The 19,138-nt window shown below is 50.1% G+C and overlaps 1 protein-coding gene across 6 annotated transcripts in view, besides 5 other annotated features; it reads left to right on the top strand.

Annotated features, from left to right (window-relative positions):
- Window positions 4,161-4,210: an enhancer, noted in NCBI's record as "active region_9002". NCBI's record gives its function as "activates an Ori minimal core promoter by ATAC-STARR-seq in GM12878 lymphoblastoid cells {active_cell/tissue: GM12878}" and the evidence as "EXISTENCE:reporter gene assay evidence [ECO:0000049][PMID:35858748]".
- Window positions 4,611-4,810: a silencer, noted in NCBI's record as "silent region_6061". NCBI's record gives its function as "represses an Ori minimal core promoter by ATAC-STARR-seq in GM12878 lymphoblastoid cells {active_cell/tissue: GM12878}" and the evidence as "EXISTENCE:reporter gene assay evidence [ECO:0000049][PMID:35858748]".
- Window positions 7,021-19,138, top strand: part of BCL11B (BCL11 transcription factor B) — a 102,911-nt gene continuing 90,793 nt past the window's right edge. For 5 of the 6 annotated variants that reach the window (XM_047431708.1, NM_001282238.2, NM_001282237.2 and 2 more), the window contains exon 1: window positions 7,021-8,057. In XM_047431708.1, coding sequence (XP_047287664.1) covers window positions 8,000-8,057 — 58 coding nt within the window. In that variant the 5' untranslated portion in view covers window positions 7,021-7,999. Of the gene's footprint in view, window positions 8,058-10,117; window positions 10,155-19,138 lie in introns of those variants that run through there. The other variant, XM_047431707.1, reaches the window with a different exon arrangement.
- Window positions 7,095-7,174: a silencer, noted in NCBI's record as "silent region_6060". NCBI's record gives its function as "represses an Ori minimal core promoter by ATAC-STARR-seq in GM12878 lymphoblastoid cells {active_cell/tissue: GM12878}" and the evidence as "EXISTENCE:reporter gene assay evidence [ECO:0000049][PMID:35858748]".
- Window positions 9,714-10,318: an enhancer, noted in NCBI's record as "H3K4me1 hESC enhancer chr14:99735237-99735841 (GRCh37/hg19 assembly coordinates)". NCBI's record gives its function as "activates a minimal SCP1, AML or CMV promoter by ChIP-STARR-seq in naive H9 embryonic stem cells {active_cell/tissue: H9 hESC(naive)}" and the evidence as "EXISTENCE:reporter gene assay evidence [ECO:0000049][PMID:30033119]".
- Window positions 10,319-10,924: an enhancer, noted in NCBI's record as "H3K4me1 hESC enhancer chr14:99734631-99735236 (GRCh37/hg19 assembly coordinates)". NCBI's record gives its function as "activates a minimal SCP1, AML or CMV promoter by ChIP-STARR-seq in naive H9 embryonic stem cells {active_cell/tissue: H9 hESC(naive)}" and the evidence as "EXISTENCE:reporter gene assay evidence [ECO:0000049][PMID:30033119]".

Raw genomic sequence — 19,138 nt, 5'->3', positions numbered from 1 at the left:
CCCTTAGCCAACACTGGTCAAACCATCCAAACACCTTCAATCACATCCCTGTGGCTGCTGCAGTGAGAGCTGCAAGTTGTCTGACTTTCCACCATGGCCCATGTATTCCGGTCTGGAAAGTGAGGCCACAGGGTGCTGAAGGTACCCAGGGAGGCCCATGACACCTCTGTGCCAGCTCCTGCCCTTTCCTTCTGCTGCTTTCCAACTTGCCTCTTGGTTGGGTGCATTTAGGTACCCGGAGCTAATTAAGGTGTTTGATAGATTTCAATTGGAGTATGAGTTCTTGCCAGAAACATCAACAATTCGATTCCCCAAGCACAATGCAGAGCGTTAAATCCACTAATGCTTTATACATTACTGTGTTCCTTCCCAGCCGGAATGTGTGGTCTGGGTACAATACCAAACCGGTCCCCAAACAGGCGTCCTCACTCTTCAGTCTCTAATTGTTCCTGTTAAGCAGATACAAATAATGAAACTGCAGATGCCTGTGCTGAATCCCAACAGCTGATGAATCTACCCATTTGAATCCAGAGGTCCAAATACAGATTTAAAATAATTGACCATAAATCTGCCTTATTTAGAATCCAGATCATCAGAGTGGTCAGAGATGATCTTTTTTGCTCCTGTCTAGTGTTAATTTCATGATACGTGTGTGTGTGTGTGTGTGTGATGGGGCCGGCGGGGTGGGTAGAAGCGGGGGAGAAAGAGAGAGAGAGAGAGAGGCAGGCAGAGGGGCTTTGTCACAAGTTCAAATGGGAAATGTTATTGCCACATCCATATTATAGAAGCTATTCTTGTTTCAGTGATTCCAAAGGCTTGAAATCACAGTGAAATCATTTTTATAAAAGGATCCAGATTAAACTAATACCAGAATGCACAGCAATCCAGTGTCTCGGTTTTCCCTGGGCAGCATTAATTATCTTTTGTTGTAGCAAATTGTCTGCCTTGTAAATTAAGCTGAAAGTGCATCTTCAAGCAGAGGCAATGTTTTAATATGTACATAATGGAACAACTTTCATAACTTCCACATACTATAGAAATATGATTTCATTTTCAATAATGTGCCTGCAGTTAAAACTTTGTGGTGTAGAGCCTCGTTTGTCAGCTTGCAACCTTAACCCTTCTCTATTAAATAGAGAGAAACCACTTACGTGTTTTCCAGGATACAAACTACCTTTGTTGAATTCACTCGAAAGCATCCGTGGCTGTTTCTAAAACTACAAAACAACAGATGAGCTCCCCCAGAGCTCTCTTTCCTAGCTCTGGAAGGCATATCTGAAACAAGGTGTTGGCTGGTTTTTATTTTTATTTTTTGGTAAGCGCCCCCATTGCAGCATCCTCATTAGCCGAGCCTGTTGGAGGGATGCTAGCCTGACTCATGTCTCTCTCTCCTTCTCTGTTCTTCCATAAGTGAGTGCTTGCTTCCCCCTCACTTCCTTTGTAGTGCATCACAGCACAGATAGGAGTTTTCAAAGCCTGGGATTGGGGGTGGGGGAGACCTCTCTACTGAGTCAGATGTCTACAACTCCAGCTTAGCATTTACTGAAACTTCATCTTTCTCAAACTGCTTAAGGATACAAACTAATTAATCCTCACAGCCTCATAAAACCCTTGTTAGGAAGGTGATCATTACTGCCTCCATCCCTAGTCCTCCCCATTTCCTATCACCAGACACCTCATTGTTGCTCGGTCTCAATGACAGCAGCTGACAGCCAGAGTCGGAACTGAAAATTCCTTTCTGAGTCCCTCATTTGAACCACTTTAACTCTCTTTATTTTCCTTGTCTGTTCTCTACAAAGGGCAGATGGATGGTCAATAGACCACTGAATTCAAACTCACGGATATGTGTGTGTCTTCAAAACAGAGCTCTCAGCATCTTCAGGAAAACGGTCTTCCTTGCAGTTTCAGTTACACAATTTGGAGACTCAGTGACAAAAGAGAAAGCAGCAGAGAGACCCTTTTGCATAACACACACACACACACACACACACACACACAAACACACACGTGCACTCACACCACAGCCGCTCGGATCTCTGTATATGTGAGGGGTGGGGGTGGAATTTGGTGCAGTCTGATCATCTTCATGAACGATATTTCTCCCAAGTCGACCAACTGGGTGATGCCAGTCCCTACCAAATTTGAATTGATGACTCAACTAAAGAATTAAAATTAGCAAGACAAGAAAATTCCAAATGAGGTGAGAAAGCTGTAGAAATAGTTCCAGATCCCCTAGTACTGAGCCATTCAATATCATTTCTGATGACAGGGACAGAGCTAGGAACATTCAATGTGGGTGTGAGTCCTTTTCATATACGGGGAGCTGGGTAAGTATTTTTTAAGGAAAATAATACATGAATCAGGAACAGTGAATTTTATTTAACCCCTTGCAGGCTGCAGATACAAAGGCAGCCGGCAATGATGCCTCAGTTTTCCTACAGCTTACCTATGCCTTATACAGTTAAGCAATGGTCAGAAATGTACTACTGTATCAAGGCCAGGTATTACTTGCAGAAAAAAATAAGGTGCCAATGATGTCATGTTTTAACAAAAGCAATGTTGTTAAATTCAGTACACCAAAAGAATCAACCAAACAACTGTTGAAAGGCAAGTTTTGTGGTCCTGACTCTGCTATCAGGTGACAACGTGAAAAACTCCTCTAAATCCAGCAAAGCTTTAATTGAGTGCTTATGGCTCCCAGAAATTTGCTGTAATTTTCAGAAATGACATAAAATAATTCTAGAAGATACAGCAGGAAGCCCAAAAGGCCTCTTTTGTCTTTTTATGCCTCTGGATTTGATAGCTGCTAAAGATTCTAGAACTGTAAGGAAAGAGATAAGGACCACCTTGGGAGCCTTATTAATATGTACATAAATATGATTTGCTTGGTGCCTCCACTGTGGTTTCCTCACAAGTTAGAATAAGTCCATCCACTGATCAGATCGGAACATCGTATTCATGTTCATCTTCTCAGTCAATAACACTTATAGATCCGGAGGAATAGAAATGAACAGACAGGGGTTGCTTCTGAGTCTGCCCTATACCTGTGAATATGAAACGATTTGCCCTCTCTTTGCATGGTTTTCTTCTTCTTCTTCTTCTTCTTCTTTGTTTTAAAGCACCAAAAATGAAGCCCAAAGTAATTTGGTAAGATGTGCTGTTGAATTGCTACAAAGTTGACTGCGTTTCAGAGGGTGGATCTGTGTTAAAAAGAAAACAACAAAAACAAATGAAATGTCAGTTTTCTTTCTGCAGAAACATTAGGACTTCCCATTTCTACTGACACGTCTTATCTTGATTCTTTCCAAATTTTTGTAAAGACATAAGAGATAAAATATAACAGCTCAGAAGGCAAAGATAACATTGTAGGATCTCGAATAGAGTCCAACCTCAGCTGAGTTAAGTATTGAGAATCGTTCAAAGAATTTTAAACAAAAAGCCTGGCTTGGGGGTCACGTGTCTGTTTAATCTGCCCCCACTGCATGGTGTGTTACACGCAGCACACACAGGGAATTAAAGCCCCACATAAGGTTAATAAAAATGCACTCTGATTTGATGAAATGATTTCTGATTTCTGAACTATTCCTCTATAAAGAAATTTAAAGTGACTGAGAATATGGAGGATTATCTGCTGGAATGCACTGTGAAGCTAGAAAAAGAATAGCAGGGAAATATTTGTGAGTTCAAAAAGCTTTTTGACATCTGCTCTGTGTGTGTGTGTGTGTGTGTGTGTGTGTGTGTGTAAAGATAGTGCAGAAAAGGTGGCATTTATTTCCATGTGATTCCAGCATGCACAAAGCCCCAGCTTTGGGCCCAGCACACAGTAGGTCTGCAGCAGGTGCTAGAGAAATGAACCTGGTTTTAAGATATTAGTTCAGGACCACATTTGGACCCACACTTTTTCCTTTTACATTTTCATATGTGAGCCACCTGCACCCTCTTTTTTGGGGGTGGGGAGGGGGCAGGAGTGACTTGTATTTTAAACAAAGGTTTGGTGAAGAAGAGGTGGGGTGGGGTGCGGTGGGGCGGTGCAGTGACCTTCTCAGGAGAGTCCTGAAGCCCCCTCTCGCCTGCCTGGGGTGCTGAGGCAGGGGTGGGTACATGGCTGTGGGCCGAGGTCGACCACCCCCCTCCCGCCCCGCCTGCTGTCTGGGCATCTAGAGAGTGGGGAAACATTAGTACGGGGCCAGCTGCGGAAGCCTGGCAGGGTCGAGGGAGAGGTCAAGGTCGGCCGAGAGGCGGCTATTGATCCGGCTTGGAACGTGAGACATGGAGCGCAGCAAGACTAAAGGGGGAGCTGTGAGACCAGACATTAACAGCTTTGCGCGCTGATGAGGCCCGTGCCAGACGGGCAGAGGGAAAAAGAGGAGACTGGAGTGGCAGCTGGGATCGCTCCCTGCCTGCGCCCGGCCGCCTCTCGGGAGAAGAGGAGGAGGAGGAGGAGGGGAAGGAGGGGGAGAAGGAGGAGGAGGGGGAGGAAGATGCGGAGGAAAAGGGGGAGGAGGAGGGCGAAGGGGCCGGCTCAAGGCTGGGCAGGGGCAGAGCAGCCTCTCCCCGGCTGCCGCGAGGTGGAGCGCGCCGGCGGGCGGCGGCGTGTCCGGCCCTGCGTCCGCCCGCCCGCGCGTCCCTCTTCCCGCCGTCGGGGCAGCGCGGGGCCAATGAGGAAGTGCTCCTCGGGTCCGTGGGGCACGCGCCGGCCCACGCCAGCTACTTCCTGCTGGGAGTGGGGAGGGGGTGCCCCCTCCCCAGGCACGGCCCCTTACCGCACGCGGGGTGGCGGCTGCAGCTGGGACTCCGAGAGCCCTTGCGCCGCTCGCGGAGGGGCTCCCTTTTCCTGAGGGGTCCTCCCCGTCCCGCCTTGCCACTGGCGGGGTCTGCCTTCCTTGTAATCAACCCCAGGAAGGTGAGGGTCGTGGGTCGGGATTTCGAGTCCCGGACCGCCGGCGGCGCTGGGCTGCAGGCACGCCGCGGTGTTTTGGGTCCAGACCTGTCCCTGACGCGCTGTGTGTCCTAGGGCAAAGTGCTCACCCTCTCTGGGCTTCACATCGCTAGTTCTCAGAAAGAGAGCGCGAGTTGATCTTTCAAATTTAGAGTCCGGGCGAGTAGGGATGGCCAGTTTATGAATGTCTTAAAGAAGTTTATTAAAGGTGCGTGTGGGCATATTTTTTTTAAGCCACTTTCCTGGAAAGATTTTCCCGGTGAGAGGGATGGCAGAAGAGGGAGGCCCTACTAGACTTTGGACCACGTGGAGGTGGGGTGTTGGGGGTGGGCAGCCGGGTGCAGCCTGCCCGGCCAGGGCGAGGAGGTGCAAGTCCGCGCCCCGCCCCCGGTCTCCATCCGCTCGGCCTCGCGTCCGCCCACCGTGGAGCCCACAGTTTACAGAACTGCAAGCCAGGGCACATTTTATTGTTATTATTTTTTAGGGTATGGGACTGGAAGGGATCTCTTTCTGTTCTCGCTCACGGACTCTGGGCGCTGTTAAATTGTTGGTGCCATCGCCCCACCCAAGACCTTCGGGACGAAAACAAAAACCCCCGTGTGCCCCCCGAGGAAAAGGCCCCGAGGGAGGCGGCGCTGAGGCGTCACGGCCTCGCCATGCGCCCGGGTGAAGCCGCCGGAGCCAGGCCTGGGGGCGGAGTGGGGTGGGTGCAGCTGGACTCGCCCGCGAAGCCTAGCCGGAGCCAGGCCCCGACCCGCCCTGGCCGCCTCCAGAGAAACCCTGAGAAGGGAGAGGAGGCCAGCCGCGTGGCGCGCCCAGCCCTGGAGGCCAGGTCATCAAATTGACAAAGTTGGCCACAGCCTGGGGAATGGGGGGTGTCCACGGGGGCCGTGGTCTGGCCTTGTCCCCGGGCCACGGAGAGGCCCCACAACTCCTCTTGTCCTCGCCGGTTGGAGATCAAACGGCTGACAAGGCAGCTGCGTCCTTCCCAGTCTGACAGGCATTTCCAAGTCCTACCCTGGGCCGAGGAGCGCGGGGGGCGGGGTGTGACTTCCAGGTTGCTGTGATTGTCAGGGGCGCCTCCTGGAGTCACCCACCCGAGTATCTGCGGAGATTTGGCCACACCTACTCCTGGGCTGGCAAGTCCAAGTCCCTCTCCCACGTGGAGCGCCCCGGTCCCTTTACCCTCTCGCTTGCCATAGACCCAGTTTAGGAGGTGGGGTCGTGTTTGACCCCAGGAGTTAATCGGGGTAAGGTGAGGGGAGGGGACAAAGATTTGAGTGAAAATCCTTTTCCAAGTGGGACTCAAACAAGGTCTCAAACACTTCTCACCCCCTCACGTGCTCTTGATTCTGTTGTCTTAGTGTCGTTTATTTTGTCATCCTCACCCTCCCAGAGTCTGTAATACCAGGATTTATATGGAGACACTTTTTGGAAGTTGAACTCCAACATCTACTCCCCTCCCCTCGCCGCCCGCGACCATAAAACAAAAGTAAAAACTACCAAGCGACTTTTCCAGGGAAACGAAGCGATTCTTACTGTCCCCCCAACTCCCATGTCGACCCCAACCCTTTTCCACAGTCCACGCCCCCACCCCCAAAGTCCAAGTCCGAAAGAGCTTTTGGGTGGGTGGAGACTTGCATTGATTCAATTTAGTTCACTCACACAGCACCCCGCCCCCCTTCTCAGGGGGTCCTGCTCCCAGGATGGAGGAGATATAAGGACGATTTTTCTTTTATTTTAAAATAAGCTGCCCAGTGGCCCCCCCCAACCCCCTCCCGCTGTTGCGCAGCCGGGGCTCGGGGGAGATGAGCGCACAAAAACGCGGTTTGCACGTGTGTCCGGCTTGGGCTGCGGGTGTGCGCAACTGGCGACTGTGTGTGTGTGTGTGTGAGTGTGCGCGCGCGCGCGAGTGTGTCTCTGTGTGTGCTTTCTTGTTCTCTTACAGGGTACAATGTTAAAAAGCCACCGCTAGTCGCCCCCAGTGCTCCGACTCTCTGGGTCTTTTTGTCTCTAGTGCAGATTAAACGTCACGTCCGCACTTGAACTTGAATTTTATCCCATTGTACAGAGGCAGCCCCAGCCATAGAGAGACCGAGAGCTCCCAGAGAACCCGGACTCCGCCATCTTCACGTTGCAATCTATAGCTCCCAGTCTGCGCCCGCACCGACCCAGGCGCACTGGGCGAGCCGCCCCTCCGCCCCGCTCCCCCCGGGCCCGCGGCGCCAGGGGAGCGCTGGGGAGCGCTCGCGGGGACTCGGCAGCCCCTCCGGCCGGCGCCAGCCTGCCAGGTGAACTGGGAAGGAGCCTCTCCTGGTGTCCCCCCAGAGCCTCGGAAGGGTCAGTCTCCGAGAAAAAACAAAAACAAAAACAAAAACAGGCAGCCCGCAGAAAACCCAGAAACAACCGAACCGGGGCAGTTTTACATTGCTTTGGGTTTTTTGAGGGGGCGGGGTGAGGGGGTACGAGACAAGTCCCCAAGTTTTCTTTGCTTTTTTTTTTCCTTTGCTTTTTCTTCTTTTATTTTTTTATTTGTTTGCATTTTTTTTCCCCTCCTGGTAGAAGTGCGCTTTCCACCTACCAGACCCTGAAAGAAAGTGTCAGGAGCCGGTGCAAAACCCAGTTTAAGTTCAAGAAGACATTTGCAAGTGCAAGAGGCCAAGCAGTTTGAAGAAGTGTAAGAGATTTTTTTTCCTTCGAAAGAATATATTTTTAAAGAAACCAGCCAGTCCGCGGAAAGCAACAGCAGTTTTTTTTTTTTTTGCCTCTTTTTCTTATTTTAGATCGAGAGGTTTTTCTTGCTTTTCTTCCCTTTTTTTTCTTTTTGCAAACAAAACAAAAAACAGCATAGAAGAAAGAGCAAAATAAAGAAGAAGAAGAGGAGGAAGAGAGGGAAAGAGAGGAAGGGAAAAAAAACACCAACCCGGGCAGAGGAGGAGGTGCGGCGGCGGCGGCGGCGGCGGCAGCGGCGGCAGCGGCGCGGCGGCGGCTCGGACCCCCTCCCCCGGCTCCCCCCATCAGTGCAGCTCTCCGGGCGATGCCAGAATAGATGCCGGGGCAATGTCCCGCCGCAAACAGGGCAACCCGCAGCACTTGTCCCAGAGGGAGCTCATCACCCGTAAGTGTCTGCGGAGTGCGCGCGAGGGGCCGGAGATGGGGCTCCGGGCGTCTGGGGCTGGGGACACCGAGCCCGGAACAGCCGAGCCTGGCCAGGCGCCGGGGCCGCCCGCTGGCTGGCAGAGTCTACGGCGTCGGCCTGGAGCATGGCGGGGGGCGGGGGCCATAGGAAAGTTTCTTTGCAGCCCGGGGAGTTGGGGCGCCGAGCAGCCGGACGCGCCTCGGGCTCGGGGGCCTGCGGAGCCGGCTCCGGGCCGGGGAGGGGGCATGCAGGCTGGAGGAGTGTGTGTGTGTGCGCGCCGAGCCCGGCTGGACGCTCGCCCCTCCGAGCGGCGTGTGTGGCGGCGGCGGCGCTGGTGGCGGGGTTTGGAGAGGAGGGGGAGGGGGCTGGGGGAGCGGAGGGGGAGGGGGAGCCGGGAAGTGGGGAAAAGTTGGCGAGCGCGTGGGTCCGCGCTGACGGCGCGGGCGGAGGAGAGCGGGGTGCGTTCCGGCTGGGGGAGCCGTAGGGCCAGGGGCGGCCGCCGGCTCCGGGTCCCCGGTCCCTGCGCCCGGCCCAGCAGGGTGCCGGCCGCGCCAGTCCTAGGATTCCGCAGCCGCCTTTCTCTCCCCTCCTCCTGCTATTTGCAAAATAATCCAGCTGCGCGGCTGTTTGCCGGGCTCAAGCCCCCCTCCCCACCCCCCACTTCCCCACCTCCGTCTGTCTCCTGGGATGATCTTGTCTTCTTTCCCCCACTTCAAAAAAGGTGGGGGGATTGGGGTTGGTGAAAAATCCCCGCCACGAGGAAAAAAAAAAAGGTTGTCAGTTAGGAGTGGGAAGAGAGTGATGCGCTTGTAAAATAGTAAAAGAAAAAAAAGAAAAAAAGGAGACCCATCAATCTCGTATCCATCTTTCTATCTCAGTATCTTTCATCTTTCCTATCTAAATAAACAAGGCAGGTCGCAGTGGAAATCCACCGGCTGAAATCGTGTCGATTTCAAGCATGTGGCTGGGCGGGCAAAGTCAGGCAGCGGGGCAAGACAAGCAGCAGCTTCCACCGTCCCTGTTGGGTTTATTTAGCAGAGGGGAAAAGCGAGCGCGAGCGGGCCAGGTACGGTGTTTGCAGGGGAACCCGCCCCGAGTCCCCGCACACTTGCACCGGGAAGGTGGCTTTGCGGCGCTCCCCGCCCGCCGCAGCCCGCGGGGCGGCTTCTTCGCTGCGCGCGAACATTTCCCCGCCGTTCTTTCTCTCGCGGTGCCTGGGTCGCCGTTCCTTTTTTTTTTTTTTTTTTTTTTTTTTTTTTTTTTTAACTGCAATAGAAATAAAACATCCTCTGGGTGCCATCGAGACCGCGGGCAGGTTATATGCTTGCAATCCGCCGCGCACCTCGCCGGGCTGGGGCCGGGCTGCCCGCGCGGAGCTCGAGAGGGCTGCGCGCCCAGTCACCGCAGAGGACTGGCTGCCGGGCGGCCGAGAGCCGAATATTTATGTTATATTTTAAAAAATTTAAATAAATAAATAAATATATAAAGTGGTTCTCCCCTCCCCTGAAAACCCAGCATAGGAGCCATCTGCTCGGAGCAATTGCTGTTGCCATCTCTCCTTTGTTACAGCAGATACATTAGTAAGAATTTGTGGATTTATTATGATTTTTTTTGGGGGGGGGGGAATAGAAATTAAAGTGGGATTCGCCTTGGGAGAGGGATGCCTCTTTGGAGGAAGGGAAGAGGACTTCTCTTTTATTTTTCGCCGTTGTAACACCAAAGAAGACTCGCCGGCTGCGTTTAAAACAAAATGTTTTGCAGCTAGATTTGAGCTTGGTTTGATCAAGGTCTTTTTTGCCAGTTGACATTTCGATCCTTTACCAAGCCACAGCAATCGCTTATTCTACACCCTTCCCCCTTTAGATGGGGTGGTTGTTAAAACGTCTATACTTGCAGAGGCTTAATTTCTCCAGGAGGCAATTTGCCCCACGTAGCCTCTGTATAATTGCAAGGGTTGTTTTTGAGGAGGGGGAATTGGGGGGGTCGGGGAAGGGGGAGTGGATGGGGGTGCACTGCCAAGCTGGCAGCAGCGGCGAGCCAGGAGTGGTTGCAGTTGTGTGTAAGGGGAAGAAGCAGGTAGGTTCGCTTTGCTTTGGCTCTCCTTCTCCTGGCATTCCTGGGACATCAGGCGAGAGCCCTGGCCAGAGGACTGGTGGCAGCTGGGCATGGGGGTGAGGGGTGCCTGGTGCAGCACTTTCCCATCCTTCATTTGTTCCCTGTCTCGCTCAGCCCTGCTCAGAGCCACGCTGGGGAAAGCCAGCTGACACTGGAGCAGTGGCAGGGAGGGAAAAAGAGAGAGGCAAAGGAGAAGAGAGGTGGAGAGAAAAAGGGGAAGGAGACCAGAGGGCAAAGGAAAGCCGGCCTGCCTTTGAGGGGCACACGGAGCCCAGGCTATGTGTACAGGTTTAAGCTAGGAGAGTGGTCCAACCAGTTTTCAGACAAGGCTATTTATTATCCAAAAGCAGCTGGCTTTTCGTCTGTCCTGTGTCACCTGGGAGGGAGGTGGGAGAGCAAGCAGGGGAAAGGCAGGAATGGGGTGCACTTTAGCCTCTCTGGCCTCTGGAAGTGCCTCTCCACAAATGATGCAGGAGCCGTGGACTCAGGGTGCTTTGGAGCCCTGGCTGGCAAAGCGGGTGCTGTCGCATCCTCTACTTGGAGTTCACATTTTAGATTTTAAATTCCAAAGATACCCCTTAAAACATGGTACATCTTTATCAGTTGGGTGGCAGCTCCTGGGCCTGTGGGGCAGCAACCTCAGGTCCTTCAGGGATGATGCAACTGCAAATAACTGATGGCCTGGGAAACAAGAGGGCACACAAATAGCACGCATGGTCTTTGTGGGTGGGTGGCGGTGGGGAGGGGAGAGGGGGGAGGGAGCGTCTGAGAAGGGCTCCATAATGAGCTAGTTAAATTTACAGACAGGGCCAGGGACAAGAGGAGTGAGGTAAAAAAGAGTGAGAGACAGCTGGTGATGGAAACCTGGGCTTCTGGTTTGCTTCAAAATGTTTGACCCAGATGGATATGGCTTTTAAAAGCAGAGGACAGACACAGCTATTAATAAAAAAACAAACACAAAACAACACAGTGGCAATCGTGCCGAGGGGAGGTTAAGGGGGATCGGCTGACCACGCAGAGGAAAGGGCCAGAGCCCGCTGTGCCAGACAGGGCCAGGGTGAAGGGAAGAGTACTTAAATCCAAGAAGGAGCTTGATGCTTTCTGAAGAGACCAAGGAAAATAAGATGTCCACGGTAAACTGCGTAACCCCAGTCAAGGTGATTTTCTCAACAACCCACCAACAGGTTTCCTAGGAAGATTAGTAATTTTCCGTATGAATTCACGATTTTGTAAAACAACTAGAGACCCAAGCAAGATTCAATGCAAAAGTTAGGCTAACTGTGTTAATTCCATGGTTACCTTTTGAATTAGGTTTTGCTGTAGCTGTGTGTTTTGAAGGCAGCGGTGCTCACAATTATCTTAACTCCCCAGGGTAGAGTATATCTCCAGTGGTCCACATGTCTTTCAGAATTGGGCCTCCGATAAATTTCATAAGACATAGCCCTCTTTTTTTTTTTTTGGTTAGTTGGTGGGGGGGGGGTGAAGTTCCTCTCCCTTCTGCACAGAAGGGAACCCCATATCATTAGAAGTGTGATATAAGTCAGCTGCTCTGATTCAATGGGAGAATAAAAACGTGTTCACCAAAGGTGTTATGCCAGGCTGATTTTATTCATTTGTAATTCACACCTGAGAGAAAACAGCCGTGAGCATATTTTAACAGCCCCTAATATTTTTAAAGGGTCTTTTTTCCCTACCTGAATGATATGATGTACATATGCATATTTCTTTTCTTTTCTTTTCTTTTCTTTTTTTTTGATGGGGAGGTTGCTATCTGCCTGTGCTTGGCCTTGGCGATTTTTTGTCTGGCCTTTGAAATATTTCATAACAGAAAACTAGGCATTTCTGAAGTGCTGGGGTGAATGCAGTTGCTTTTGTGAAGCCGGCCTTAGAGACATCGAGGCTGGGTTAGCTGGTTGGGTGTGTTGTGTCAGTGACCAGTGTGGAGGGCTAAGTGGGTCCTACTCAACCCAAGGGAAGCCCAACTTTGGGTGCATTTGAGAATAATTAGAATTGTGTCTCAGGTGAGACGGAAGCACAGAAAACAGTCGTTTACAGATACCAGTTTCTAGCGCCTTCTCAGAATGGAGTTCTTGGCACTGTCTTATAGCTTAGAACACGGCTTGCACCAGCCTTCACTTATCCCCTTTTCATCTCCTATCTCGATTGCTTTGCATTCTCTGTTGCTTGTTGTGATAAAATACTTTCCAAAATAAACTTTCAGTTGAATTGGCTTTTGGTTGATGGCAAGCTGAAACGCCGAGCCGCGCCTAGCGCCACTTGGCAGCTAGGGGGAGCTCGGTGCCCGTGTCATGGCTTGGCGCCTCCGCTACAATGGGCTAGGAACGGGCTTCCATCAGCAGCGGCGGCAGTTTACGTTGCTGCAAAATACCTTAAGTGTGAAGTTGTAATATTGATTTTCCAGCAGAGATTCGTGCAGGACAAAATGAGAATATAAGTTTGAGAAATCTATTTTCAAGCTATCGCCATTGATTTACAAGCCCTCACTTGGCAGATGGGGGCATTTTCTTTTTCTTTGATTTTCTTTCTTTCTTTTTTAACAATTAAAATTGTGAGTTTTGAATGGGTGTGTTTTCCCTGATTCGTCCGTGGTCTTGACGTTCTGAAAATTCTGCTGCGTTATTAAGGCGCTGGTGATCGGGCTGGGGAGGTCTGGGGAAGGCGTACTGCTCATTTCTGTCTTGCATGTCACAGACCCAGGGAACAGTCGAGAGTTGCTGCTTTTGGGAGTCGTGTACCTAAAACAGCTTGATGAATGGAAATCCTTTTAGCTCAAATTTTATGACACTTGGATTCTCAATTCCATTTATTAGGTAATGTTCCCACTGAACTAAGGGAAATAGCACCGTTCCCCAAAGATTTAAAATGCCGACTCAAATAACATGTAAAACTTTGTTTGGAAAGAGTATGTGATTGCTAGAGCCAGTCTTGATCACATCTTTCACCCCAAACAGTTGTCCTTTATGGATGGCTTTTAATGAGAGGATTTCTCCCCTAAACATGTAATCTAGTGATGGGGAATATATGTGCTTTTGATCATAGGATTTCTAGATTTATAATGTCTTCTTTCCCAAGTTGAAGAAATCTGCAGACTGCACCCTGAGTCTTATGCTAGAGTTCAATATATGAGCAGAAGAGGTTACCCTGCGACAGGAAAGAGTGCTTTATTCTAACCTGAAAGAGAAATAAATTAGGTCAGACAAAAGCCTAGCGCTGTCGTCAGCTGGAGAAAGAGCCTTCACTCTCCAGTACACAGGGCCAGCAATTTATCTGATGATTTCTCTACTTCATTTAATGTTTGAATCGAGCCAGTTGTAAGCATGTAGTGGCAGCGAGCTCACTGGACCACTCAGAGATGAAGAGGCACGGTGACCTCGAAGTCTTGGGCCGGACGGTGGTCTCTGAGCTGCAGAAAACCGTTAAAAATCAGTTTAGCAATCTCCAATCCTTTGCCTTAGAACTCAGGGGAGTTTCACAAGCTGTAACTAAACACAGATCATAGATAAGACAATGCAGGAAAAAATATATGGGGGAGGGAATGGGAGGGGGTCAGGTTCTTGTCCGTTGGAGACTCTCCTTCATCTCCCATGGCTTAAGGATGGACCTTCTGGCTGCCTGGTTAGGCCTCACCTTTAGCTGAAACTCTCCAAAGACTTTGGCCTCGAGGTTAATGTTGGCTTCACATCTGGGGAGGACAAGGAGAAAGTAAATGGTCTTTGGGGACTGTACCCTGCACCACATGGTTGAGTTATTGATACCGGCTGAGCATCTTTCTCTGAAGACGGTGTTAGCTGTAGATACACTTTTGTATTTATTAATGGGGAAGGGTACAGAAGACACTAGGAATGAATGTCTGTGTCATCCAGCTGCCGTGAGTATGCTTTGTCACTTTGCGGCACTCTTTTGACTCAGGCCATTTGGCCTGAGGTCCTGTGCGGCACTCTTTTGACTCAGGCCATTTGGCCTGAGGTCCTGTGTGCTCTGTCCTGTCCCTACTCCCTGATCCCACTCAGCTTCCTTCCGGTCCCAGGGAGCCAAATGTCAGGGAGATGTGCTCAGGCTCGGTCCCCCTCTTGCTCCATCCCTCCCCAAGAAACGCCGTGTGCTGACTGCCTCCCTTGAGCAAGTATGTTTCCCAGGGCGTGGGTAAAAAGTGCCGAGAGCAGGCTATTTGGAGACGCGTGGAAAGAGAAGGACACATTTCTTGCGTCTTCTGCACAAGCCAGTGAGGAGGGTGAGCAGAGCAGCCTTGTTTTTTGCTGGCAAAAGTGACACTAGATGGAGGCTTGATGAATGGTGCCACATTCACGGGATGTTGGTCCAGCATTTTGACATATGCTAGTCTTTTGTGCAGTTGCTGAAAATCAAGAAATTCATTCTTTTTTCTTTTTCTTGTGGCAGCTGATAATTTGCTTGGGTGTTGAATAGCCAGCCTGAGCTATTTTACTGTAATGAAATCCCAGACCACACAAAATTAAGTCACTTCAAAGTAAAAAAAGAAAAAAAAAATCCTCTCTTTTACATAACTTCTTTTTTATGGCCCCCTTCCACTTATTTTATTGAAATACAAATAAATACATTTGTGAAATGTTCTAATGAGTTTTCTACTAAAACAACACGCAGAAATGACTCAAGAAAAGTTGAGTGCCAATATTATTGTGATTAACATGTGCCTCAGAAATGGATGCACTGCTAAGAATTAAAAAAAAGGGGGGGGGCGGTGTCATGTTTAAATTCCTACCTTGGAAAAGAGATGTCGAAAGCACTCCTGCCCTTGCTATTTGCTGTTGGCCTCAGATAATCCAAACTCCTCCAGCTAAAGCCTTGAGGTCCAGTGTCCTGTGTGGAAGCCCTTCTTTTCTTCCGCACCTTTGAAAAAAGCATAATGTTAAATAAAAACAAATCTCTTCATTTGCCCACAAAGAGTGCTTTTTTATCACATCGTTAGGAGCCCGTTGTGGCTCTGAAGATTGAAGGCATTTGCAGTTTTATAGAACCTGCTAAATGTGTTGAGAAGGATTGCTATTGTGGTAAATCTTTTCCTTTTCTTTTTCTTTAAAGCGCCTATTTTATTTGTCAAGACTTTTATTTGTAACCTTTTAGTAATGGCTGAGACCTGTGAATATACCTGAGTATGTTTTCCTTATTCACTTGTTCTTTTTTCTGCTCTTGTGCTGGGGAGACCCAGGCTCCTGGGCTCAGTTTTTGGGGTTCTGGAGAGGTGTGTGCATTATTCTTTTTTCTGCTCTTGTGCTGGGGAGACCCAGACTCCTGGGCTCAGTTTTTGGGGTTCTGGAGAGGTGTGTGCAGTGGGGGAGAGAAGGCGGTTGGACTCCATAGAGCAACTGAGGATATTTTTCAGGGAGCTGCTTAAGCATCCTAAAATTAGGCTGGAGTCCTGCAAACAATCTGTACACAGGGAGACCCTCCCCAAACATTCGACTTTCCCGCCTGGAGTCTGTAGACCAGAAGGTATGGGAGTGAGCCTCTTCCTGCATCTAAAACCTCTTCACGGATCTGGAGTTTCCACCTCCTGGCCTGCAGGCCAGGCCCAAAGTTTCCGCTGCTGGCGGAGTCAGCGGGACCCTGGTCATTTTCCTGGGAAGCCCACACTGGGAAGCATGTTTTGCACCGGCCGCCTTCCCTTGCTCTCCCTCTCACATGTCAGAAACGGCGATCGAGGTGTGTGCCTCAGCTGAGGAGGGGCAGACAGGACCTCATGGGGTGGTGGCTGTGGTATGTATCTGTCCCTCCAGGGAGGCAGCCTTTGGAGGGTGTCAGGAGGGTGCAGAGCTGACCTGGAGCAGGCTGGACTCCTCTGACTGTCTGCTGAGAGGGTCGAGGGTCAGGACAGAGAGGTGTGATCTGGGTCTTGCTTCCTGCTTCAGACTCCGCCTGGCTGTGCCTTCCCAGGGTCCCCACCCCCAACTTGTGTCCTAATAACCCTTCGAGACCCCCTGTGGACATCCTCCTGACACCAGCCTCCCTCTTATCTCCATTTCCTTCTCTGCCAGGCACTTCATTATTCCCTCCGTTAGGGGAACTTCATAAAATCTCTTGTCGTGCCTTTAAGCGTCATCTAGTCATAGATTATTTTCTCCACCAAGAATTGATTCCTGCTCTCTCCCCCTCCACCCTTCTCCTCCCCCCTCCCTACGGTTGTTATTTTCTCTTGGATCCAATAAATTAAAAATGGATGGCAGCTCAGAAAGTGTTGTGCTCCGTCGAGTGTGCGTGTGGTGGCGTTTCCGTGTCGCCTGGAGTCCCAGCCCCTCCCCAAGTGTTCACGGAGAGGAGATGAAAAGATCTCTTCGTAGATTATGGGTAAGCATGGGCTCGCTGGCAAGAGCTCCCTCTTCGTAGGAAGCAGGTGTAAAGTCTCCAGTCGGATGCAGAGCTCGGGCGGATGGATGCTGAACATTTCTTGTAAACATGCGTACACATCATGATGGCGGTTGTGACGTTGGTGGCACACGATTTTAAGAGCCTGGGACCCATCCCCCCACATCCTTCCCTTTCCCACCCCCGTCATCACTGAAACAATAATTCTGTGTATGTTTCTCCTGGACTGTAGCTTAGCCATTAAAGATAAGAGAGTTGGATTTGAATTAATGCAGGGTAAGGAGGAGCAGCAGCCCACGTACTGTGTATGTAGCAATGCACATGTGTGTGTGCAGGCAGCCACGCACATGCCTGTGCTCTGGGGACAGCAGGCAGCAGACCTCTCGGCTGGAGTTCCCCTAAGGGCAGGTGCATGGGCAGTTGTTAGAGATGGGCCAGGGAGGGCGGGGTCCTTGGCACCCTGTGTGTGGGGGAGTCACTGGCCAGGTAAGGCCCTGCTGAAAGCTTGCAGCTGCTGGGGGCTTGTTGGCTGCTTGGCTGGGCCTGTGTTAACGATGTCTTTCCATTTCTTTCTTCTGACTCAAATTCCTTCCCAGCAAAGCCGAGGCATGGGGAAGTTTGTCTTGGGATCAAGTGCTTCCCCTTTCACTTAACAACGATGTCCATTATTATTTGTGATTGCTTCTAAATGCATTTACCAGCTGGGAGGAGGCCTGGCCTTGTAAATAAAATGTGGTTTTGTTGTAAAAGAAAATCTAACTCGTGTGTTTGTGTGTGTGTGTGTGTAAATACAGATTTGTCCCTGCACTTTAGGATTTAGCATTTCAGAATCCGCCTCAGCCCTCTGATATCTGCCTTTCGAACAAGTTGTCTGCTGCATCCATTCATTTTTCCTCTTAATGAGTCAAACATTTCAGCAATTGCTCTACTTTATTCGGCTCATAATATATTGAGAGCAGCAATATTCTGCAGGGCTGCCCGACACTTGGGGAGCTTTTCATGAAAGCAGAGATCATCTCAGAGGAAAACCTCATCTTGGCTTTATTTTTTTAAGGCCCGAGTTTGCTGGACAAGGCTGCATGAGGGGCTGGCCTGTAGGGTCTGGGAATTTGAAAGACTGTTTTCATTGGTCTTTTTCCTGGTGCTTTTTCGTCTCTGGGTGGCAGGTTGGACCACTCTGCCTGTTAGAACAGAGGCCTGGCTCTCTGAGGCTGTGCAGAGCCGGGAGACTCAGGTGTCCATAGGGCAGAGAAAGAGGGGTGTCACTTTGCCCTTCCCAGGGCTTGGCTTTCTCCTTTTATTTCTTCCATTATCGATACAGTTCTAAGGAGGGACACATGCACACATATGCAGGCACCCTACACGCCTAGCTTGGTATCTGCCTGCCAGCGGAAGTGAAACCACAGTCTTTGGGGGTGTCTACAAAGGCCTTGAACGTGAGCTTTCAGGCCCACTTGGTCCACTTACTCTGACCCAGAAATTTGGGGCTGGGGGTGACTCTGCTGCCTGATGTTGAGGGTGACCTTGCTACCTTCCTGGGAAGTGTCGCACACAGCAGGCCAAGGCACAGCGCCACAGCCTGGGTGGTGGGGAGAGGAAACCCCGTTCTTTGGAATCGGGTGAACACCCTGTCATCTCAGGGGTTTAACTTTCAACGCTGAAAGTGGGAGGGGAAGGAGATATTTTTTGTTTGTTTCTTTTCCTCCCAGACTCCCTTAGAGGCAGTGAGTTGGATCTCTGGTCTGGGACGTGGAGATCCCAGCTCAGAACTGAGCCCTGGAGGCCTGGATAATCCCGGGGCTGTCTCGGGGACGCCAACAGGGCCTGGCTCCCAGGTTGGTTGGCTGTTAGGACTTGACGCAGAAATCAGAGCTGCAGCACAGCAAACGGCTTTGGACACCTTCAAACTCAATTACGGGGGCTCGCAGGGCTGCTGCATGAGGAAAGTGAAAAGGCAGAGACTGCCAAAAAAAGGAAAGAATACCAGATGTTACCAAAAATAAAAAAATAAAAAAAAGAGGAGAGAAAGGAAAAAGTGCTGGTACATAGTCTTGGCAAAAGACGAAGCTGAGGAGGAGGGGTGCTTGCGAACAGGCACGTGTGACCTCTGCTAATTTTTAAATTCATCTGTGTTTCTTTTGAATTAGAAAATGAGTTTGAAATTATGTAGTTGAAAACCTCCTAGCAGAGAGGAGATATTTAGGCTTGCTAGAACTCCTACTCAGGAGGGCGGACGAGGCTGAAAAAGTTAATAAAAAAGCAAACAAAAAAGTAAACCGAAGATTAAATTAAAAAAACCAAGAAGACCTCTTCGCCCTCAGAAAGGACGGTCCAGCTGGCCATGTGGATTTGTCGTTGTACGTTTTTATCAAATCTTCCACTGATGCAGGAGTTTGCCAGGCCTGGACAGGGTGGTATTTAAAATAGTACCAGGTACCGCACCTCGCCCCTGTTTCCTTTGAATTCTCAATTTCATTATGTCCTTTTTTGCTTTTCAGCTCATTTCTTTTGTGCCTCTCTCTCTATTTTTTAACAAAACAATATTTTGACATCCTCCTCCCATTTATTAGAGCACCTTCTGTAAA

Source organism: Homo sapiens, chromosome 14 (genome assembly GCF_000001405.40).
Source record: "Homo sapiens chromosome 14, GRCh38.p14 Primary Assembly".
Lineage (NCBI taxonomy): Eukaryota > Metazoa > Chordata > Mammalia > Primates > Hominidae > Homo > Homo sapiens.
Note: the sequence above shows the minus strand (reverse complement) of the source record. Positions and strands in the feature narration are given on the sequence as shown.